At 41.1% G+C, this 21,496-nt stretch overlaps 1 protein-coding gene across 6 annotated transcripts in view, besides 2 other annotated features; it reads right to left on the bottom strand.

Moving 5' to 3' along the window:
• RNF115 (ring finger protein 115) overlaps positions 1–21,496 on the bottom strand; it is an 85,228-nt gene that overhangs the window by 46,788 nt on the left and 16,944 nt on the right. For 2 of the 6 annotated variants that reach the window (NM_014455.4, XM_047418028.1), the window contains exon 2: positions 3,253–3,311. The exons of 1 other annotated variant lie outside the window; for it this stretch is intronic. In NM_014455.4, coding sequence (NP_055270.1) covers positions 3,253–3,311 — 59 coding nt within the window. Of the gene's footprint in view, positions 1–1,356; positions 1,409–2,956; positions 3,148–3,252; positions 3,312–8,419; positions 8,542–9,487; positions 9,715–21,496 lie in introns of those variants that run through there. 3 more of the 6 variants (XM_047418024.1, XM_047418025.1, XM_047418026.1) reach the window with 3 other exon arrangements.
• Positions 11,387–11,587: a silencer, noted in NCBI's record as "peak399 fragment used in MPRA reporter construct". NCBI's record gives its function as "represses an SCP1 promoter by STARR-seq MPRAs in K562 erythroleukemia cells {active_cell/tissue: K562}" and the evidence as "EXISTENCE:reporter gene assay evidence [ECO:0000049][PMID:32103011]".
• Positions 19,329–19,837: an enhancer, noted in NCBI's record as "NANOG hESC enhancer chr1:145629590-145630098 (GRCh37/hg19 assembly coordinates)". NCBI's record gives its function as "activates a minimal SCP1, AML or CMV promoter by ChIP-STARR-seq in naive H9 embryonic stem cells {active_cell/tissue: H9 hESC(naive)}" and the evidence as "EXISTENCE:reporter gene assay evidence [ECO:0000049][PMID:30033119]".

Here is a 21,496-nt window from a genome sequence, read left to right on the forward strand (position 1 = left end):
CAAATAGTTTTCATTTGTAGGATTACAATACCAATCCAGGCATTGTGCTGAGCTCACTGAGGAAACAAACACACCCTAGTTAGTCTGAAACCAAAAGTGAAAAAGCAAAGCTAATGCCACTCTTTATGCAACCATTCTCAAGCCTTATTCCCTGATAAGAAACCATTTAATACCTGCATTAATTTCAGAAAAACGCTTTTGTAAAAATCACTCCAAATGTATAACAAGCCCAAAAGTACTTGTACATCTATGCTAAATAAACAGCTAATTGAACTACCACATACCATAAAAAACTACATTGAGTGGCTATGTATCCATTTGATTGCTCAAGCCCAGACAGGCTTCCAAGACTCTTCCTTCCTGCCTTTACTACACAGTTTCAGGGATTCAAACATCCTTGGTAATTGAAACCGCAACTCTTATTTTCTGGGGTTCTGCTCTCCCTGAAGCTACCTCACCGTTCCCTTTCCTTAAAATTCCTTTAAAGAATAATAGAGCTAATCATAGAGAAGGGATAATAAAAACCACCACATTGTTCTGAGAAATGTTACAAAGCTTAAGAAAACTTACAAGGTGCTCCTCTACATGGAAGTTTAAGAGCAGATGGAGCCCATTATCTAATATTTACATGCAAGGCCCTCCTCTTACTGGTTTTTACCCTCCACTACTTACCACTGCAATTGCTAAGTATTTAAATCAGCAAATGTTTATGAACTTTATAGAAGGAAATATCATACTGCCTCTAAGACAAGGATTCTAAGAAAAAGATTTCGTCTTTCATTTAAAACACTAATCTCTTTCAAACCACAGAGTCTTTGTATTTGAGTAAATTGCTACCAATAGCACCTATATAAGACAACCTTTGATCTACAAAGACACATAAAAGAATTAAGAACAAAAACCACAGAATCCACAGTTCCCTGCTAGACAAAGATTCATCCTACAGTTAATCATTCTCATTTATAACTGTATTTGCATAAAAGTACTATCTGCCTAAAGAAACCAGGGTTACTACTTGAAAAGTTGGCAAAAGATAAGCCCATTAATTGTTCTCCCACAACCAATATATCTTTTAATTAGCACATGCAGAGCATAAGTGCCTGAAATAAGTTATTTGATGCAATTATAATGGCACAAACAAAAAGCTATCCCAAGTTAGCATGCCATCCACACAAAATTGCTAATTTTGCAGTCATGCTAATCTTACACGTTTAGTGTTGGTATTGTACTATTTAAAACCAAGATGACATTTAACTGTATCAAAATAGATCCCATGCCACATATTGCCCCAGAAGCTCCAGCTTATTTACACATATAATCACCAATCATTAGTAAAGTAAAACTAATAGTACATACTGTAAAATGTGTAGTTTTTCCTGGTTGTGGAAGGGACCTTCAACTTTAGATTCTGCCAACAGTAACAGTAAAGGAATTACCTACTGCCATTAAAATCTCCAAAGTCACTCCAAGATTAAGAGGCTTCAGATTACAGATTCTTTTTGACCAGTCGGTACTTCTTCAATTTTCAGACGAATGTTTAACCAAATAGCCCCAAAAGAACAAATGTGCCATTTTGTTTAGCCAAAAGAGGCCATCCTATCAATGCTATTCTAAAATTTATTAAAATTTTAAGTTAGGCCAGGTGCAGTGGCTCACACTTGTAATCCCAACACTTTGGGAGGCCAAGATGGGCGGATCACGAGGTCAGGACTTCAAGACCAGCCTGGCAAACACGGTGAAACCCCATCTCTACTAAGAATACAAAAATTAGCCAAGCGTGGTGGTGCATGCCTGTAATCTCAGCTACTTGGGAGGCTGAGGCAGGAGAATCACTTGAACCTGGGAGGCAGAGATTGCAGTGAGCCAAGATCGTGCCCTTGCACTCCAGCCTGGGCAAAAGAGTGAGACTCCGTCACAAAAAAAAAAAAAAAAAAAAGAAAAAGATTTTAGGTTGGGCACGGTGGCTCATGCCTGTAATCCCAGCACTTTGGGAGGCCAAGGCAGGCGGATCACTTGAGGTCAGGAGTTCAAGACCAGCCTGGCCAACACGGCAAAACCCCATCTCTACTAAAAATACACAAAAATTAGCAGGGCATAGTGTCAGACACCTGTAGTCCCAGCTACTGGGCAAGCTGAGGCCCAAGAATCATTTGAACCTGGGAGGCAGAGGTTGCAGTGAGCCGAGATCGAACCACTGCACTCCAATCTGGCAACAGAGCAAGACTCTGTCTCAAAAAAAAAAGAAAAAAGAAAAAAGATTTTATAGTTTTGTTCACATAAACAAAAAAGGAATATGTAATAGTCACTTTCAGAAATATTTCCCCTTTTTATCAGCTGTATACCTTTATGAAGGCCAATAAGAACAAATTCCAAGCATTACAAACCCATATATTAATATCACCCTGGAAAGATGGCCTAAGTTTGACAGCAATAATCTTTTCTTTTTTCTTTTTTTTGAGACACAGTTTCACTCTTGTTGCCCAGGCTGGAGTCTTGGCTCACTGCAACCTCCACCTCCCGGTTTCAAGTGATTCTCCTGCCTCAGCCTCCCAAGTAACTGGAATTACAGGCGCCCGCCACTATACCCAGCTAATTTTTGTGTTTTTAATGGAGACGGGGTTTCACCATGTTGACCACGCTGGTCTTGAGCTCCTGACCTCAGGTGATCCACCCACCTCAGCCTCCCAAAGTGTTGGGATTACAGGCGTGAGCCACCACACTGGCCAAATAACCTTAATAAGAACAAGAGATTCAAGGCCTCCTCAAAGCAGAGTAACAATTGGTTTTCCTGGCTAGAACAGCCTGTTTACCTGATTAGGTATCTTTGTCAGAAGTCACTCCCTAACCCGCCAAAGAGGTATAACAGCAGTTTACCTTCAGACAGCAGAGTGGTCACTAAAAACCAACTAATAATCTAAGAGAAGCCCCAAGTCTCAGATAATAAATGAAAACTTACCAGATTTACTCTGACATGCGTACAGATGTACATGGAATGCCACATACAATCAGGAGCAGTGCGTATCACCACATCTGCTATGATATCACTTTCCAAATTTTCCCATTTTTCTTTCTTTTTCCTCTCCCATTCTTCTGCCCTCTCTTGTGCAAGCTCATGCACTCACTCTCTCTCTCTCACTCTCGCTCTCTCTGTAGAGTGTAAGTTGTAAAACAAATTCAACTTACTCAGTCCATGCTGAGAGAAAATAGTTTTGATAATAGAATGTCTGATTTATTCATGAGCTTGTACAATACCTGGAATCATCTGTCACTTCTTCAATAAAGCCTGATTCACATCTGGGACATATATATTCCTATAAAAGAAAGGAAGAAACAAATAAAACTTTTTCATTAGAAAGCTACGTGGTATCTGTAGTTTCAGAATAACATGCAGTATACAAGCTGAGGCTCTGAAATGTTCTATGTACTCGCTGACTCAAGTAGTTTTTGTTTTTTTTTTTCTTTTGTGAGACAGGGTCTCACTCTGTCACCCAGGCTGGACTGCAGTGGTATGATCATGGCTCACTGCAGCCTCCATCTCCCAGGCGCAAGAGATCCTCCTGCCTTAGCCTTCAGAGTAGCTAGGACCACAGGCACATGCCAACATACCTAATTTTTTTTATTTTTTGTAGAGGATGAGGTCTTGCTATGTTGCCCAAGCTGATCTCAAACTCCTGAACTGAAGTGATCTTCCTGCCTCAGCCTCCCAAAGTGCTGGAATTACAGGCATAAGCCACTGAGCCCAGCCTAGTTTTTTTTCTTTTTTTTTTGTTTTTCTTTTTGTTGCCCAGGCTGGAGTGCAATGGCATGATCTCGGCTCACGGCAACCTCCACCTCCTGGGTTCAAATGATTCTCCTGCCTCAGCCTCCCAAGTAGCTAGGATTACAGGCATGCGACAACACGCCTGGCTAATTTTGTATTTTTAGGAGAGACGAGGTTTTTCCATGTTGGTCAGGCTAGTCTCGAACTCCCGACCTCAGCTGAACTACCTGCCTCAGCCTCCCAAAGTGCTGGGATTACAGGTGTGAGCCACCACACCCGGACTTCTTTTTTTTTTTTTTTTTTTTTTTTTGAGATGGAGTCTCGCTCTCTTGCCCAGGAGCTAGAGTGCAATGGTGTGATCTCAGCTCACTGCAACCTCCACCTCCTGGGTTTAAGTGATTCTCCTGCCTCAGCCTCCCAGGTAGGTGGGATTACAAGCCCCTGGCTAATTTTTGTATTTTTAGTAGAGACAGGGTTTCACCATGTTGGTCAGGCTGGTCTCAAACTCCTGACCTCAGGCGATCCACCCGCCTCGGCCTCCGAAAGTGCTGGGATTACAGGCACGAGCCACCACGCCCAGTCCCGGCCTAGTTTTTTCTATTATACTCTGGCAAATATAGAATTCCATAAAATATTTGCAGAATTGCTTCATAGCTACCTAAGTGGTTTCCACTGACAGCTGAAAGGTAGAGTGTCAAAGATTTTTTTATTTTAAAATTTAGGTTATTTATTTGTTTATTTAGAGACGGAGTTTCACTCTTGTTGCCCAGGCTGGAGTGCAATGGTGCGATCTTGGCTCACCACAACCTCTGCCTCCCAGGTTCAAGAGATTCTCCTGCCTCAGTCTCCCGAGTAGCTGGGATTACAGGCATGCAACACCACGCCTGGCTAATTTTGTATTTTTATTAGAGACGGGGTTTCTCCATGTTGGTCAGGCTGGTCTTGAACTCCCGACCTCAGGTGATCCCCCTGCCTCAGCCTCCCAAAGTACTGGGATTATAGGCATGAGCCACTGCGCCCGGCCTTTTTTTTTTAAGACAGAGTTTCGCTCTTGCTGCCCAAGCTGGAGTGCAATGGCACGGTCTTGGCTCACTGCAATCTCTGCTTCCCAGGCTCAAGCCATTCTCCTGCCTCAGCCTCCCAAGTAGCTGGGATTATAGGCACCTGCCACCATGCCCAGCTAATTTTGTATTTTTAGTAGAGACGGGGTTTTACCATGTTGGTCAGGCTGGTCTCGAACTCCTGACCTCAGGTGATCTGCCTGCCTTGGCCTCCTAAAGTGGTGGGATTACAGGTGTGAGCCACCGTGCCTGGCCTATTTTTTTAATTAGAATGAATTCATCGTCCAATTTTTTCTTCAAATCTAACAAAAAAGCTCCACTATATACATATCAACGCAGTAAAACATTATAATAATGATGGGTATAGAAACTGCTACTTTTTAGTCTGGGCGCGGTGGCTCACGCCTGCAATCCTAACACTTTGGGAGGCTAAGGTGGGCAGATCACTTGAGGTCAGGAGTTCAAGACCACCCTTGCCAACATGGTGAAACTCCATCTCTACTAAAAATGTAAAATTAGCTGGGGTGTGGTGGCGTGTGCCTGTAGTCCCAGTTACTTGGGAGGCTGAGGCAGGAGAACTGCTTGAACCCAGGAGGCAGAGGTCGCAGTGAGCCCAGATAGTGCCATTGCACTTCAGCCTGGGCGACAGATCGAGACTCTGTCTCAAAAAAAAAAAGTAAGAAACTGCTACTTTTTACTATGTAAAGAAAGAGACTACTACTTTTTACTGTGTACATACAAAAGACATAAACTGGGCCAGGTGTGGTGGCTCATGCCTGTAATCCCAGCACTTTCGGAGGCCAGGCAGGCAGATCACCTGAGGTCGGGAATTCGAGATCAGCCTGACCAACATGGAGAAACCCCATCTCTACTTAAAAAAAAAAAAAAAATTAGCCATGGTGGCACATGCCTGTAATCCCAGCTACTCGAGAGGCTAAGGCAGGAGAATCGCTTGAACCCAGGAGGTCAAGGTTGGAGTGAGCCAAGATCACGCCATTGCACTCCAGCCTGGGCAACAAGAGCGAAACTCCACCTCAAAAAAAAAAAAAAAGAGAAAGAGAGACATAAACTGAATAACAGCATAAATCAATTTGTAGACTAGGAACAATGAGGCAGTACAATATTTCTATTCTATCTTCTGTTTATCAATGGTTCCAAACAAGACCTAACAATTCTCAAATACCCTACAGAAATGGCAATTCAAATAACCAAAACAATTCCATTAATTCAATTTCTATTTCCTTCAGTAATACATCTTTCTTTTAAGTAATATCAAGCTTTGGGGATAAGAATACACTTTAGAGACTGCCTTATAATAATTTTTTAAAGTATATTTTAACTACCTATTAAAATAGACCTGAGAAACACATTTTTTTTTAAACCTCATCCTAGACTCCAAAGGCATGGGAAAGACATTTTCAACCATTTTGTTTCTTTTTTATTTTTTATTTTATTTTATTTATTTATTTTTTTGAGACAGGATCTCACTCTGTTGCCCAGGCTGGAGTGCAGTGGCACAGTTTTGGCTCACTGTAGCCTTGACCTCCAGGGCTCAGGCAATCCTGCCGGCCTCAGCTGGGACCACAGGCACATACCATGACCAGCTATTTGTATTTTTGGTAGAGATAAGGTCTTGCCACGTTGCCCTGGCTGGTCTGAAAGAACTCCTGAGCTCAAGCAATCTGCCCACCTTGGCCTCCCAAAGTGCTGGAATTACAGGCATGAAACACTGTGCCCAGTTCAACTATTTTCTTATGCCATATAGTTTCTGAACCCTAAATTTTGTTTTACCTGAAGATGATGTAAGCTGTATTTGGCTCTTCAAAGAAAGACAGGATGGTAATTCAAACACTGAAACACTTTTTTTCTAAAGAGATGGGGTCTCATTCTGTCACCTAGACTGGAGTGCAGTGGCACAATCACGGCTCAAGGCAGCCTCGAACTCCTGTGCTCAAGTCATCCTCCCAAAGTGCTGGGATTACAGGCAAAACCCACCATGCCTGGCCCTCAAGTGCTTTTTTAAAAGAAAAAAAAAATCCCTCATGTCAAAAAGATTAGTTTCTTGAGGAGACAGTCAAACCAAGAAACAGCAAATTTAATACAATAATTGCTATAACCAATGAACACTAGAAACAGAAACAAATACAGAGTTTGCCTGGGGGAACTAGGGAAAGCTCTGACTGAAACAGAGACCTAAAATATTTGTCCAATGAAAAAGGAAATTCTAGGTCTAGGACCATGATGATAGAAAACAGCATGCATGGAGGTTGGAAGGGAATGGTATGAATGTGGATATGCAGACAGGCAGATAGGGGCCAGAATGTAGGAAACTTTAGTTAACTATTAATATCGACTTTACCTTGAGGATCAGAAACTCAACCTTTTTTCTCCACTACACACATAAAGGATGAGACACATTCATAATGGGCATACTGTAAACTACTCCAGAAATGAAGTAATCTGGAGACCACATAAATCCCTGAGTCCTCCTCTACTCCTTCATCCCCTACCCTCCCAGAAAGCTGCAACTCCATCCCTTTCCCATTCTGAAAATTTATCTGGTCAGGCGTGGTGGCTCACGCCTATAATCTTAATACTTTGGGAGGCTGAGGCAGGAAGATTGCTAGAGCTCAGGAGTTTGAGATCAGCCTGGGCAACATAGTGAGACCTTGTCTCTACAAAAATTTAAAAATTAGCCAGGTATGGTGGCGCATGCCTATAGTCCCAGCTACTTGGAGGCTGAGGCCAAAGGATCACTTGAGCCCAGGAAGTTGAGGCTGCAGTAAGCTGTGATGGTGCAACTGCACTGCAGTCTGGGTAACACAGCGAGACCCTGTATCAAAAAATAATAACAATAATATATGCAAATATATGAGTTTATCTGAATGCCGAATACAAATGAGACTGATTTTGGAAAGCTAACCTTATCTATTCTAATGTCTAAAATTAAATTCAAAAAACAGAGTCAATAGAAAAATGAAATCACAGTGCTAGGCCCTCTTTCTTCTCTCTCCCTCTCTCACTCATTCCTATTGCTTTAAATCTCTCTACATGCCAACTCCCCCCAAATGTGTATCTCTATCCCAGGCCAGTCTTCTGAATTCCAGACTCAATTACTCTTATATGTATGCTCTCTCACATGCTTTTTCTCACACACACACACACACCCTCGAGAGGTGGCATATCAGTTTGCTCATACTAGAAACCCGGGGGTCATTCATAACGCCTCTCTTTCACCTCCCACCACTAAGTCCTGGTACTCCAAACACAAACACATTTCCCACATCTACATACTCCTTGTGCCGCTGCTGCTACCTTAACCCAAGCCAGCACTGGTTCTGAGCACTAAATATCTTACCCTCTTTCTTTTTTTTTTTTTTTTTTTGAGACGAAGTCTCGCTCTGTCACTCAGGCTGGAGTGCAATGGCACAATCTTGGCTCACTGCAACCTCTGCCTCCTGGGTTCAAGCAATTCTCCCACCTCAGCCTCCAGAGTGGCTGGGATTACAGGCATGTGCCACCACACCCGGCTAATTTTTGTATTTCTAGTAGAGACGGTGTTTCGCCACGATGGCCAGGCTGGTCTCGAACTCCTGACCTCGAGTGATCCGCCTGCCTCAGCCTCCCAAAGTGCTGGAATTACAGGCGTGAGCCACCACGCCCAGCCCGAATATCTTCCCTCTTAAGTCGTGTCCTGCTTCTCTTTTAGTCCTTTCCAATCTGAAATCAAAAAAGAACCATCTTTTTTAAAGCATAAAACAGACCATGTCATTACCCAGCTTAAAATATTTCAATTATTTACAAAAACACTTAAAGTTAAATTCTTTAACATGATTTACAAGGCTGGTCTGTGCTCAACTTGACAATCTCATTGTCACCCCTCCCCTCCTTCAGTGTGTTCCAGCCACACACTGGACTTCTTTTGATTCTTTGAACTCATCAAGCTCAGCACTGCCTAAAAGCTTCCTGTAACTAGAACACTATTTCCCTAACTTTCTGCATGGCAAGGGGCATCTAATCTCTTTCTTTTTTTTTTTTTTTTTTTTTTTTTGAGACAGAGTCTCACTCTGACGCACAGGCTGGAGTGCAGTGGTGCGATCTCCTATTGGAATCATGTGAAGTCCCCACTTCACATGGTCCCAGTCACGGTTCTGTGTCCGGAATTTATTCCTTCCCGTGGGTTCTTGGTCTCACTGACTTCAAAAATGAAGCGCGGACCCTCCCGGTGAGTGTTACACTTCTTAAAGATGGTGTGTCCTGACCAGGCGCAGTAGCTCACGCCTGTAATTCTAGCACTTTGGGAGGCCGAGGAGGGTGGATCACAAAGTCAGGAGATTGAGACTATCCTGGCTAACACGGTGAAACCCTGTCTCTACTAAAAATACAAAAAATTAGCCGTGCGTGGTGGCGGGCGCCTGTAGTCCCAGCTACTGGGAAGGCTGAAGCAGGAGAATGGTGTGAACCCGGGAGGCGGAGCTTGCCGTGAGCCTAGATCGCGCCACCGCACTCCAGCCTGGGTGACAGAGCGAGACTCCATTTCAAAAAAAAAAAAAAAAAAAAAGATAGTGTGTCCGGAGTTTGTTCCTTCAGATGTTCAGATGTGTCTGGGGTTTCTTCATTCTGGTTGGTTCGTGGTCTCGCTGACTTCAGGAGTGAAGCCGCAGACCTTCGCAGGGAGTGTTACAGCTCTTAAAGTTGGCACGTCCGGAATTGTTTGATCCTCCCGGTGGGTTCACGGTCTCACTGACTTCAGGAATGAAGCCACAGACCCTCCAGGTGAGTGTTACAGCTCATAAAAGTAGTGCAGACCCAAAGAGTGAGCAGCAGCAAGTTTTACTGAGAAGAGCCAAGAACAAAGCTTCCACAACGCGGAAGGGACCCAAGCTGCTTGCTGCTGCTGGCTGGTACGGCCAGCTTTTATTCCCTTATTTGTCCCCGCCCACGTCCTGCTTGATTGGTCCATTTTACAGAGCGCTGATTGGTCCATTTTACAGAGTGCTGATTGGTACATTTTTACAGAGTGCTGATTAGTGTGTTTACAATCCTTTAGCTAGACACAGGGCACTGATTGGCGCATTTACAATGCTTTAGCTAGACACAAAAGTTCTCCAAGTCCCCACCCAATCCAGAAGCTCAGCGGGCTTCACCTCTCAGTTCTAGGAACCAGGCTGTCAACCACTACAGCTCCCGCACAGGAACATGACACTTAAGAGATATAAATCAAACTGTAGAAGTGCTCTATGGTTCTTCCTGTCATTTGGAAGTGACAAGTACTCCTTCCATTTATAAGCGACAATAAAAGCTTTCTAAATAGTTATATTTTGATTTCAGGGAAGAAAAGCCAAAACTCTTCCCAAATGCTCTGCTAATTATTCTTGATAAAAGTAGCTACTTATAAAACAAACCACACAGCCCTGGACTATCCTCCTGCAATCAACATTACAGGAAAAACAGAGAACTTTTTAGAATACACAAGATCTTCATTCTCTAATTATCAAAGTAAAAAATGCACATTTGTATCTTAAGTCTGATTTCAGAACAAAGTCTGGTCTCAAAAAACTATCTCACTTCCATTTCTTTAATCTGCCTCTTAGATACTTGGAAACCCCAAAATGATACTCTAAAGTTATTATATTTCCTGTTTCTAGATTTTCCTTATAAAGACTTCATATCACTCCACTTACTAGTACCACTTTTCTTCTGGATTCACACAAGTCACTAGCTTTCCCATGATTTCCAGCTATGTTAAGGGTCCACCCCTTCACTCTAAGAGCTCAAAAACTCTATCAATTGCTTCCAACTAATCAAGAGACAAGGTGTTAGATGAGGACAGAAATAAAATAAGATTGTTTATAAGTTGATAATTGTTGAAGCTGTATACATGTAGATTTGTTGTATTATTCTGTCTACACATTTTGTGGTAGAAAATACATAAAAATTTCCCATCTTAACTTTTTTTTTTTTTTCTGAGACAGGGTCTCCCTCTGTCACCCAAGCTGGAGCGCAGTGGCATGATCTCAACTCATTGTAACTTCCGCCTCCTGAGACTACAGGTGCATCCCACTGCACCTGGCTAATTTTTGTATTTTTTGTAGACATGAGGCTTCACCATGTTGCCCAGGCTGGTCTTGAACTCCTAAGCTCAAGCAATCTGCCTGCCTCAGCCTCCCAAAATACTAGGATTACAGGCATGAGCCACCACACTCAGCCCATATTAACCATTTTTAAGTGTACAGTTCAGAAGTGTTAAGTATATTCACACTGCTGTGAAACATCTCCAGAACCTTCTCATCTTGCAAAACTGAAACTCTATACCCATTAAACAACAACAACCCATTTCTCCCCTTCATTCCCTGGTAACCACCATTCTACCTCTGTTTCTATGAATTTATAATTTTTGATACTGACACCAACAACCTAACTGTCCCATAGAACTGACCATTATAGTTTCTTTTGAATAAAGATAGAAATTGACCCTCCCAGTCTTAAAACTTGAAAAAGTTACATTTGTCTTATCTGAGTTCCTTTCTCAGGAAACCAACCATCAGGTCTCCCAGATGATATCAAGGAACTGAAACGTACCAGATCACTGCATCTAAACAATGAAACCTCAAACCCCTCAACCCATCATGATTGCCTAAGTGACCTCCTGCTTCCTGTTGACCAACTTCTCTTCCTTATCTCTCCCTAATTCCTATTTTCCTGCATGTAGTTACAGTTCTTCCCTGCTATATAAGCCCTTAATTGTAGTCAGCCAGGGAGATGGATTTGAGACTGAGTTACCCTCTCCTCAGCTACAGCACCCAATTAAAACCTCCTTCTCTGGCAAAACTCATCGTCTCAGCAACTGGCTTTCTGTGCAGCAAGCAGCATAACCTAGAACACATCCCTGGTGTTTCAGTAATAATACCTAATATAAGTGAAAGCATACAGTATTCGTCTTTGACTGGCTTATTTCACTTAACACAATATCCTCAAGGTTCACCCACACTGTCGCATATGACAGGATTTATTTCCTTTTTAAAGCTAAATAATATTCCATTGTGTGTATATACCATATTTTATTTATTCATCAAGGACATCTGCGTTGTTTTCACCTCTTAGCTATCCTGAATGTGCTATGAGCATAGGTGTGCAAATATCTCTCTGAGGTCCTGCATTGAATACTTCTGGATACATATCCAGAAATGAGTTTGATGGATTACATAGTAATTCTATTTTTAATTTTTTGAGGAACTGCCATGCTGTTTTCCATCACAGTTGCACCATTTTACAGTCCCAACAGTGCACAAGAATAGTTCCAATTTCTCATAATCTTCACTAACACTCGTAATTCCCTGTTTGTTTTTTAATAGTAGCCATCCTAATGGATGTGAGGTGATATCTCATTGTGGTTTTGATTTGGATCTCTCTGATGATTAGTGATGTTGAACATCTTTTCAAATGTGTCTTGACCATTGGTTTATCATCTTTGGAGAAATGACTATTCAAGTCATTTGCCTATTTTTTAATCTGTTTATTTGATTTTTTGTTGTTGAGTTGTTGTTCTTTCTACATTCTGGATATTAATACTTTAACAGATACACAATTTACAAACATTTTCTCCCATTCCACAGGTTGCCTTTTCAAGTTGATTGTGTTCATTGATGCACCAAAGTTTTTAAGTTTGATGCAGTCCCATTTGCCTATTTTTGCTTTTGTTGCCTGTGCTTATGGTGTCATATGCCAGAAATCACTGCCAAATCCAAAGTTATAAAGCCTTTCCTCTAAGTTTTAAGTTATAAGCCTTTCCTCTAAGTTTTCTTTTAGGAGTTTTACAGTTTTAGGTCTTATATTTAGGTCTTTAATCCACTTTGAGTTTATTTTTATATATAGTGTAAAATATGAGTCCAAATTTTTGTTTTGTATGTGAAAGTCCAGTTTTCCCAACACTGTTTGCTGAAGAGACTGTCCTTGCTCCACAGAGGGGTCCTAGCACCTCTGTCCAAGATCATCTGACCACATATGCAAGGGTTTATTTCTGGAGTCTCTATTCCATTGTCTATATGTCTGTTGTTATGCCAGTACCACACTAGTTTTATTACCATAGCTTAGTAATATATTTTGAAATCAGAAAGTTTGAGTCCTCCAGCTTTGTTTTTCTTTTTGAAAACTGTTCTGGCTATTAGGGGTAACGTGAGATTCCAAATTAATTTTGGGATGAAACTTCTATTTGCAAAAAAAATGCTGTTGGGATTTTGATAGGTATTCTGTTGAATCTGTAGATCGCTTTGGGAAGAATTCATATCTTAACAATATTAAGTCTTCCAATCCATGAACACAGGATGTCTTTCTATTTATTTGTATGCTCTTTAATTCTTTTCAGCAGTATTTTACGGTTTTTAATATTCAAATTTTTCACTTCTTTGGTTAGGGTCATTCCTAACTTTCATTCTTTCTGATGCTACTGTTAATGGAATTGTTTTCTTAATTTTTCAAGTTGTTCACTGTGTATGGAAACATAACTAATTTTTGTGTGTTGATTTTGTATCCTGCAACTTTGCTGAATTCATTTATTAGTTATAACAGGGTTTTTTGTGGAATGTTTAGGGTTTTCTTTTTTTTTTTTTTTAGATGGAGTGTCGCTCTGTCACCAGGCTGGGGTGCAGTGGCGCAATCTCGGCTCACTGCAACCTCTGCCTCCTGGGTTCAAGCAAATCTCCTGCCTCAGCCTCCCGAGTAGCTGGGACTACAAATGCCTGCCATCATGCCCAGCTAATTTTTGTATTTTTAGTAAAGACGGGGTTTCACCATGTTGGCCAGGATGGTCTCGATCTCTTGACCTCGTGATCCGCCTGCCTCGGCCTCCCAAAGTGCTGGGATTACAGGCATGAGCCACTGCAGCCAGCTTCCGGGTTTTCAACAAATAAGATCATATCATCTGTGAACAGAGATAATTTTACTTCTTCCTTTCTAATTTGGGTGCTTTTCTTTTTCTTGCCTAAATTGGCTCTGGCCAGGACTCTTAATACTATGTTGAAATAGCAGTGGCAAGAATGGGCATCTTTGCCATGTTCCTGATGTTAGGGGGAAAGCTTTCGGTCTTTCACCACTGAATGAGATGTTCACTGTGGGCTTTTTTTTGTTGGGGGGAGGGGGTGGGTGAGGGTGGGAAGGGTCTTGCTCTGTTGCCCATTCTGAAGTGATATGGTACGATCTTTGCTCACTGCAGACTCAACCAATCCTCCCACCAAAGCGTCCCAAGTAGCTAGGACTATAGGCGTACATCACCATGCCTGGCTAATTGTGTTTATTTTTTGCAGAGATTAGGTCTCACTTTGTTGCCCAGGCTGGTCTCAAACTCCTGGACTCAAGTGATCCTCCCACCTTGGCCTCCCAGAGTGCTGGAATTACAGGCATAAGCCAACAGGCCCAGCCACTGTGGGCTTTTCATAAATACACTTTGATATGCTGAGTTTCCTTCTATTCCTAGTTGAGTGTTTTTATCATGAAAGTATGCTGGATCTATCAAATGCTTTTTCTGCATGAATTGAGATGATGATGCAGTTTTTGTCCCTTATTCTGTTAATGTGGTATTCTCTTTACTTTGATGTGTTTGAAATTTTCCATGATAAAGTTTGTTTTAAGTTACAACAGTCTGAGAAACATAGTCGGGTGAAGAAACAGTTAACCAAACCATATACTGAGCAAACTTGCGGCCATTTAAAATAAAAGTAGATCAGAAGTAATTTGTTACATTAGAGAATTAAGGGGGGAAGTCTACTTATATTTACTAAACACATGATGTGCTTGACACTGTGCTATTCCACTTAACCACTCTGTGAGGTAAATATTGTTATTGCTATTTTACAAACAAGAAAATGAAAAAAAATTGTGCCCAGATGGCCTTCCAGAGACAGCCCCAATAAGACCTCTCAGCCCATATATTCTTCTGCAATGTGACCTTCCCACTCCCTTTAAAGACATGCAGTTTATTTCTCAAGCCCCTTGAATCTGGGAGGCCCTGTGACTTCTTTAATAGATACAATACTATGCCAGTTCCAAAGCCCTTAACTGCCTGGCAACTTCTACTTCCTAACTCTTGGAACCCTGAGCAGCCACATAAGTTTAGACTACTCTGCTGGATAAAGAGGCCATCTCAAAGAGCACTGAGACATCAGACAAGTAAAAGGAAAACACCATCTTGGATCCAGCCTAGGGCAGAGTCTTCAGATGGCCCCATCTCCAGGTACTATCTGACCACAACCACATGAAAGACCTTAAGGGGAGAAGTGTCCAGCTGAACCCTGTCAATCCACAGAAACATGAGAGATAATAATAAGTTATTGTATTAAGCCACTACATTTTGGATAGACTTGTTAGGCAATAATAGAAAATCAGAACATTGCCCAAGGGATGAAAAGGAGCTTTAGGACGGGCGCAGTGGCTCATGCCTGTAATCCCAGCACTTTGGGAGGGCCAAGGCGGGCAGATCACAAAGTCAGGAGATCGAGACCATCCTGGCTAACACGGTGAAACCCCATCTCTACTAAAAATACATAAAAATTAGCTGGGCGTGGTGTTGGGAGCCTGTAGTCCCAGCTACTCAAGAGGCTGAGGCAGGAGAATGGCATGAACCCAAGAGGCAGGGCTTGCAGTGAGCCAAGATTACGACACCGCACTCCAGCCTGGGCACAGCGCAGAGCGCACAGCAAGACTCCGTCTCAAAAAAAAAGAAAAAGAAAAGGAGCTTTAAACCTTGGTCTTTCTTGAATCCAAAATTCCATCTTCTTTTCATTATACCATGCTGATTGAAAATAACTATGCTTTTAGGCCAGGCACAGTGGCTCAGCCTATAATCTCAGCACTTTGGAAGGCCACGGAGGGAGGATCACTTGAGGCCAGGAGTTCGAGCCTGGCCCAACATGGCAAAACCCCGTCTCTACTAAAAATACAAAAATTAGCCAGGCGTGGTGGCACATGCCTGTAATCCCAGCTACTGTGCAGGCTGAGGCAGGAGAATTGCTTGAACCCAGGAGGCAGAGGTTGCAGTGAGTGAAAGAGTGAGACTCCATGTCAAAAAAAAAGAAAGAAAGAAAGAAAATAACTATGCTTTTAAAGGGAGGAACACTAAATCAAGAATAATAATCAAATGCCAATTATATGTCAGGCACTATGGAAATCTATCCTACGCTTACCTATTAATACGTCAAGTCTTCACAACAAACCTCTCCCCAAAATATTTCCAATGTATGCAGTCACAAAATCTTACCCCTCAGTAACTCATTTCTCTCTTTTTCAGTAACTCATTTCTAATTCAGTAACTCATTTCTCTCTTTTTTTTTAAACTGAGACAGGGTCTCGCTCTGTTGCCCAGGCTGGAGTGCAGTGGCACCATCTCGGCTCACTGCAACCTCTGCCTCCCAGGCTCCAGAGATTCTCCCACCTCAGCCTCCCGAGTAGCTGGGACTACAGGTGTATACCATTACGCCCAGCTAATTTTTATATTTTTTGTAGAGACGGAGTTTTGCCATGTTGCCCAAGCTAGTCTCGAACTCCTGAGCTCAAGCAATCCTCTCATGTTAGCCTCCCAAAGTGCTGGGATTACAGGCGTGAGCCACCACGCCCAGCCGAGTCATTTCTATCATCCCATCTGTAAAAGAAAAGCATAACAAAAAACCTAAGTTACTTACCTAGAATCACTGGAAACAGGAACCCAACTGTTTCCACCAAACTAAGCTGCTTTCCCCCTAGGCTCTAAAAGATTACTGTAAACAACTCTAGTGAAGATACTCAGTGGCAGGTTCTGAATCGAGAACAACTCCCTAAGCATAGCTTAGCCCTGATGCTTACCCACTTAAAAGAACAGCCCAAGAGGACACAAAGCACTAGAAATATAGGAAGGAAAGGAAAAGGGTGGTTTTAATGCATTATTTCTTTTGCCTCCCGTATTTCAAAGGATTAGTTATCACAATACGTGACACCTTAGAGGACAAGGAGCTACAAATTCAGACCTATTTATATCAGGTCACATAATGTGAAATTTAAATACTCTTGAAACCTATACAAGTTTGTATCCAATACTTATTCAGTACATCAAATGTAATATAAAGACTTACTACTTTTTTCCTAATTTCACAGCTATGTTTTTCTACCTCTTCGTTATCAACTTAAAGTGTTTATTTTATCTAAAACAGAAGTTCCAATGGTGATTAAAGTGTCAAAAAAAAGAAGCCCATTTTCTGTCTAGTCTGACAGCCACAATTTTAAGTTAGTCACATTCTATTGTTTATACTCTCTTTGAGTATCACATGGCAAGACAGTCAGAAATTTCTAATTAGAAGGATTAAGAACACAAAATGTTTGCCACACATCACAGCTCCTAGGCCAGTACCCACTATACTTTTACTCTGATGCTAAGTCTCGTCACTAGGTCAAAGAGACTGGTTCCCTTTTCAAGCCAGGTTATACATCCTCCTCCCTTTTCAAAAGCATCAAGTGAACCCCAAAACAAAGACAACAGAACTTCTGAGTTCTGTTCCCAGTTCCACCATTATCCTCAAGGTCTCTGTGAAAATCTCTTTCTAGAGTACAAATACTGTCCTCACTGACTTCTTTCTCTCAACTCTCCTTCAAGAAATTAAGGAAGACATACCTCTCATTCATTACAAGAAAGAGAAAGTTTCCAGTCTAAACATTTTGAAATTAGTTCTCTGAGCTCAAGGAGTTGTAAGCAATTGTTCACTTGGCTATTAATAAAGAAAATCAGTTTACTAAAAAGGAAAACAATAGGCCACAGTTTCAGTGTTACACAAGGATACCTATACAATTTAAATACTGTTTGAAGGGCTGTGATTCAGTTCCAGGCCAATAAAACTACCTTGATTTATGGTTTCATCCCCCTAAGAATAGTAACATTCACATTCACAACCTTTATTTATTTATTTATTTTGAGACTGAGTCTCACTCTGTTGCCCAGGCTGGAATGCAGTGGCGTGATCTTGGCTCACTGCAAACTCTGCCTCCCAGGCTGAAGCAATTCTCCCACCTCAGCTTCCCAGTAGGTGGGAATACAGGTGCCCGCCATTATGCCCAGCTAATTTTTGTATTTTTAGTAGAGATGGGTTTCACCACATTGGCCAGGCTGGTGTTGAACTCCTGACCTCAAGTGATCCACCTGCCTCAGCCTCCCAAAGTGCTGGGATTAGAGGCGTGAGCCACCGCACCCAGCCACCTTTATCATTTTGTTCCTTAATTCAGGCCATGATTGAACACTGACATTACAGATTCCAAACAGGAGTGCATAATCAACCAAGCTTCTTTAGCTCATTGTGTACCAAGGCAGAAAATCAGGTCACAAGACAAAGTGTTACTTGATACAAGCTTGATCAGATGGTCAAGAAGCCAAATTTTCTAAGGAAGAAACACACAGGACTACAAGAATTACCAGAGAAAATGTTAATTAACCTCAGACAACATAATATAGCAGAAAAGATTTATAGTGTTTTTGGCTTGCTCACACTAAAGGCAGCAAGAAAGGGAACAACCCAGTGGCATAAATATAAAATGATAAATGAGCCAAAAAGTATAGATGTTTAGCTCTGATGTGTACCACAATAGTTTAGAAGTAAAATGTACTTTCTTGCTTTTAGCTTAGGCTGACAGAATCTTCTTTGACAAAGTGACAACATTCATTCACTCAGCAAAAATTCTAAGCTCTACATTCCAAGCATTGTGTAGAAAGAAAAATAACCTGGGATTAAAAGTCACTAAAATCACCTACAAAGTATATGCTCTGATAAAATCATACTTCCCTTAACCATATTCTAGTAGTTAGGGAAGTCAAAAGGCATATAAAATGAACTTCTGAATATCCTAGTCTTAGGTACTTAGCCTCGAAATGAGAACTAAGCAATGCTTCAGAACAGCCTAAGTGGTTAGAGTAATGAATGTGAAGCAAAACAAAGCTGGACTGGTAATCATTTCAACTATGTATGTGCACTTCAAAACATCATGTTGTCCACCTTAAATGCATGCATGCATGCACACACACACACACACACACACACACACACACAATCAGACTGGAAACACAGAATAACCAACCAGTTGTGTGACACTGGGTAGCTCACTTCATCTAAATGAGATAGTACCGGGAATATACTAAATTCTCAACAAACTGTAGGTTCTAATAAATTATTCTGAGTGATTTGGATATGGAATATTTCTCAAACCACGTTTCACAGGATATTAACCAGTGGTTAAGGTGGGGAGAAAAACTAGATTTAGAAAAGCCTGAACTAAATATCAAACATGCTGCTTTAATGAATGATTTTTCAGAACCATTAATATGCCATTCCATGTCATAAAAGGGGAAGTGGAGGGATGGAGATAGGGCAACAATTTGGTATGCAATATTTTACCATAATTCTGAACTCCTATTAAATCTCCTGGCACACAGTTTGAGAAACACTGATCTAGACTACTGATTTCCATACTTTTGGTTCCCATAAAGCAGTTCAATTTTCAAATTAAAAAATTGGAAACCTGCAAGGATTGCCAGCTTTTTTATTTTGCCAAGTATAAATATTAAAAAAAAAACCATCTACCATCACCATTTCATTTTAAAAAGTACTATTTTACCATGTACCCACAGAGCAATCAGAGCTTCTGACTGAGAACTCTTCATCGAAATAAAAGTAATACTTGGAATTCTAGCATTGACTTGCCATCAATGACATAGGAGAATTTCACAAGTATGATCTAATTCAACTCACAGCAGGAACATTCAAGTCAGGAAAGATCACATACAAACTGGTTGTTAACAGTAGCCACTGACCATTGGATTAAGAAAACAATTAATTAACTGAATACAACTTTAAAAACAAAAGCAATGTAAATGCAACCTCAAAGCAAACAAAGAATATTTATAAAATAGTTCTAAAAAAAAAATTATCCAGGCCAAGTTTACCTGTTACTGAATCCCAAGTCTTCAAAAAAAAAAAAAATGAAGTTTTAATTTATTCAGTCAACATTACCAGCATTATTGCTTTGTTTGATTTATAAAAGGAAAATTTTGACATTGCTTTGCATTATGTCCTCCATCCTAACATTTTCAAGACTGTTCATCATTATAAGATAAAATATGCACTAATAGTTTGTAACTCATAAAGGAGATTATTTCAGGGGTAAAATTTAAATCCTAGTATGTCAGTGGCTACCACATGATCTATGTGGAAAAACTACAGAAGAAAATTCCCTTACACAAAATCCAAAAATACCCCAGAGCTCAAATCACTAAACCGTAGCTAGCAGGAATAAACACAACTATCTCATTTTACAGACAAGGAAAATGAAGACCCTGAAAGGTTCAATAATTTAACAGCTAAAATAAAACATTTTTTCCCACAGTACTAGAATACAATTTATATATAATTAATTAAAATAAATAAAATCAGCTATAAAAAGGGCTGACAACAGTTGCAAAATGAGGGCTAGTTGTTAGTTCTTACAACAACAATATCTCAGACCTGAAATGGGCAAAAAGGCATTTGCTCTAATCCAGAGATAGCTACATTAATTTAATGTTTAAATGAGATATTAAATTTAAGTCCAGGCACAGTGGCTCACGACTATAATCCCAGCACTTTGGGAAGCTGAGGCGGGTGGATCACTTGAGGTCAGGTGTTCAAGACCAGCCTGGCCAACAGGGTGAAACCCCGTCTCTACTAAAAATACAAAAATTAGCTGGGCATTGTGGCCCACACCTGTAATCCCAGCTGCTCAGGAAGCTGAAGCAGGAGAATCGCTTGAACCCGGGAGGCAGAGGTTTCAGTGAGCTGAGATCGTGCCACTGCACTCCAGCCTGGGCAACAGAGGAAGACTCCATCTCAAAAAAATAAAATAGATAAATAAATAAATAAATATTAAATTTAAAGAAAGCCAAAAGGAGAAGAAAATATTTAAATCCTGATTTTACTACCCATTTTTCTCAACATTTTATTAATCTCCGTACTTCTTCCTGAATATAGCTGATATAGTTTGGATATGTGTCCCCTCTAAATCTCATGTTGAAATTTGATCCCCAATGTTGGAGGTAGGGCCTAGTGGGAGGTATTTAGGTCATGGACGCAGATCCCTCATGAATGTCTTGGTGCAGTCCTTACAGGAATGAGTGATGTGGTTGTTTAAAAGAGTGTGGTACCCCTCCCCTTTCTCTCTTGCCTTGCGGAACACCTGCTTCCCCTTGGCCTTCCACTATGACTGGAAGCTTCCTGAGGTCCCACCAGAAGCAGATGCTGGTGCGAAGCTTCTTGTACTGTCTGCAGAGTAATGAGCTAAGTAAACTTCTTTTGTTTATTTTTTGTTGAGACAGAGTCTTTTTCTGTCGCCCAGGCTGGAGTGCAGTGGCAGGATCTCGGCTCACTGCAACCTCCACCTCCTGGGTTCAAGAATTCTCCTGCCTCAGCCTCCTGAGCAGCTGGGATTACAGGTACGCGCCACTGCGCCCAGCCGTAAACCTCTTTTAAGTTACCCAGCTTCAGTTATTCCTTTATAAGCAACACAAAATGGACTAAGACAACAGCCCAAGTACCTAGAACAGCTCCTGGAATATAGAAGGTACCAATACAGTTACTGAATAAATAAAAATGGACTGCTGTTACTGTTGCATAATCTAGTGCCTGTTATTTTAATG

The sequence above is a fragment of the Homo sapiens genome, chromosome 1 (genome assembly GCF_000001405.40).
Source record: "Homo sapiens chromosome 1, GRCh38.p14 Primary Assembly".
Classification (NCBI taxonomy): domain Eukaryota; kingdom Metazoa; phylum Chordata; class Mammalia; order Primates; family Hominidae; genus Homo; species Homo sapiens.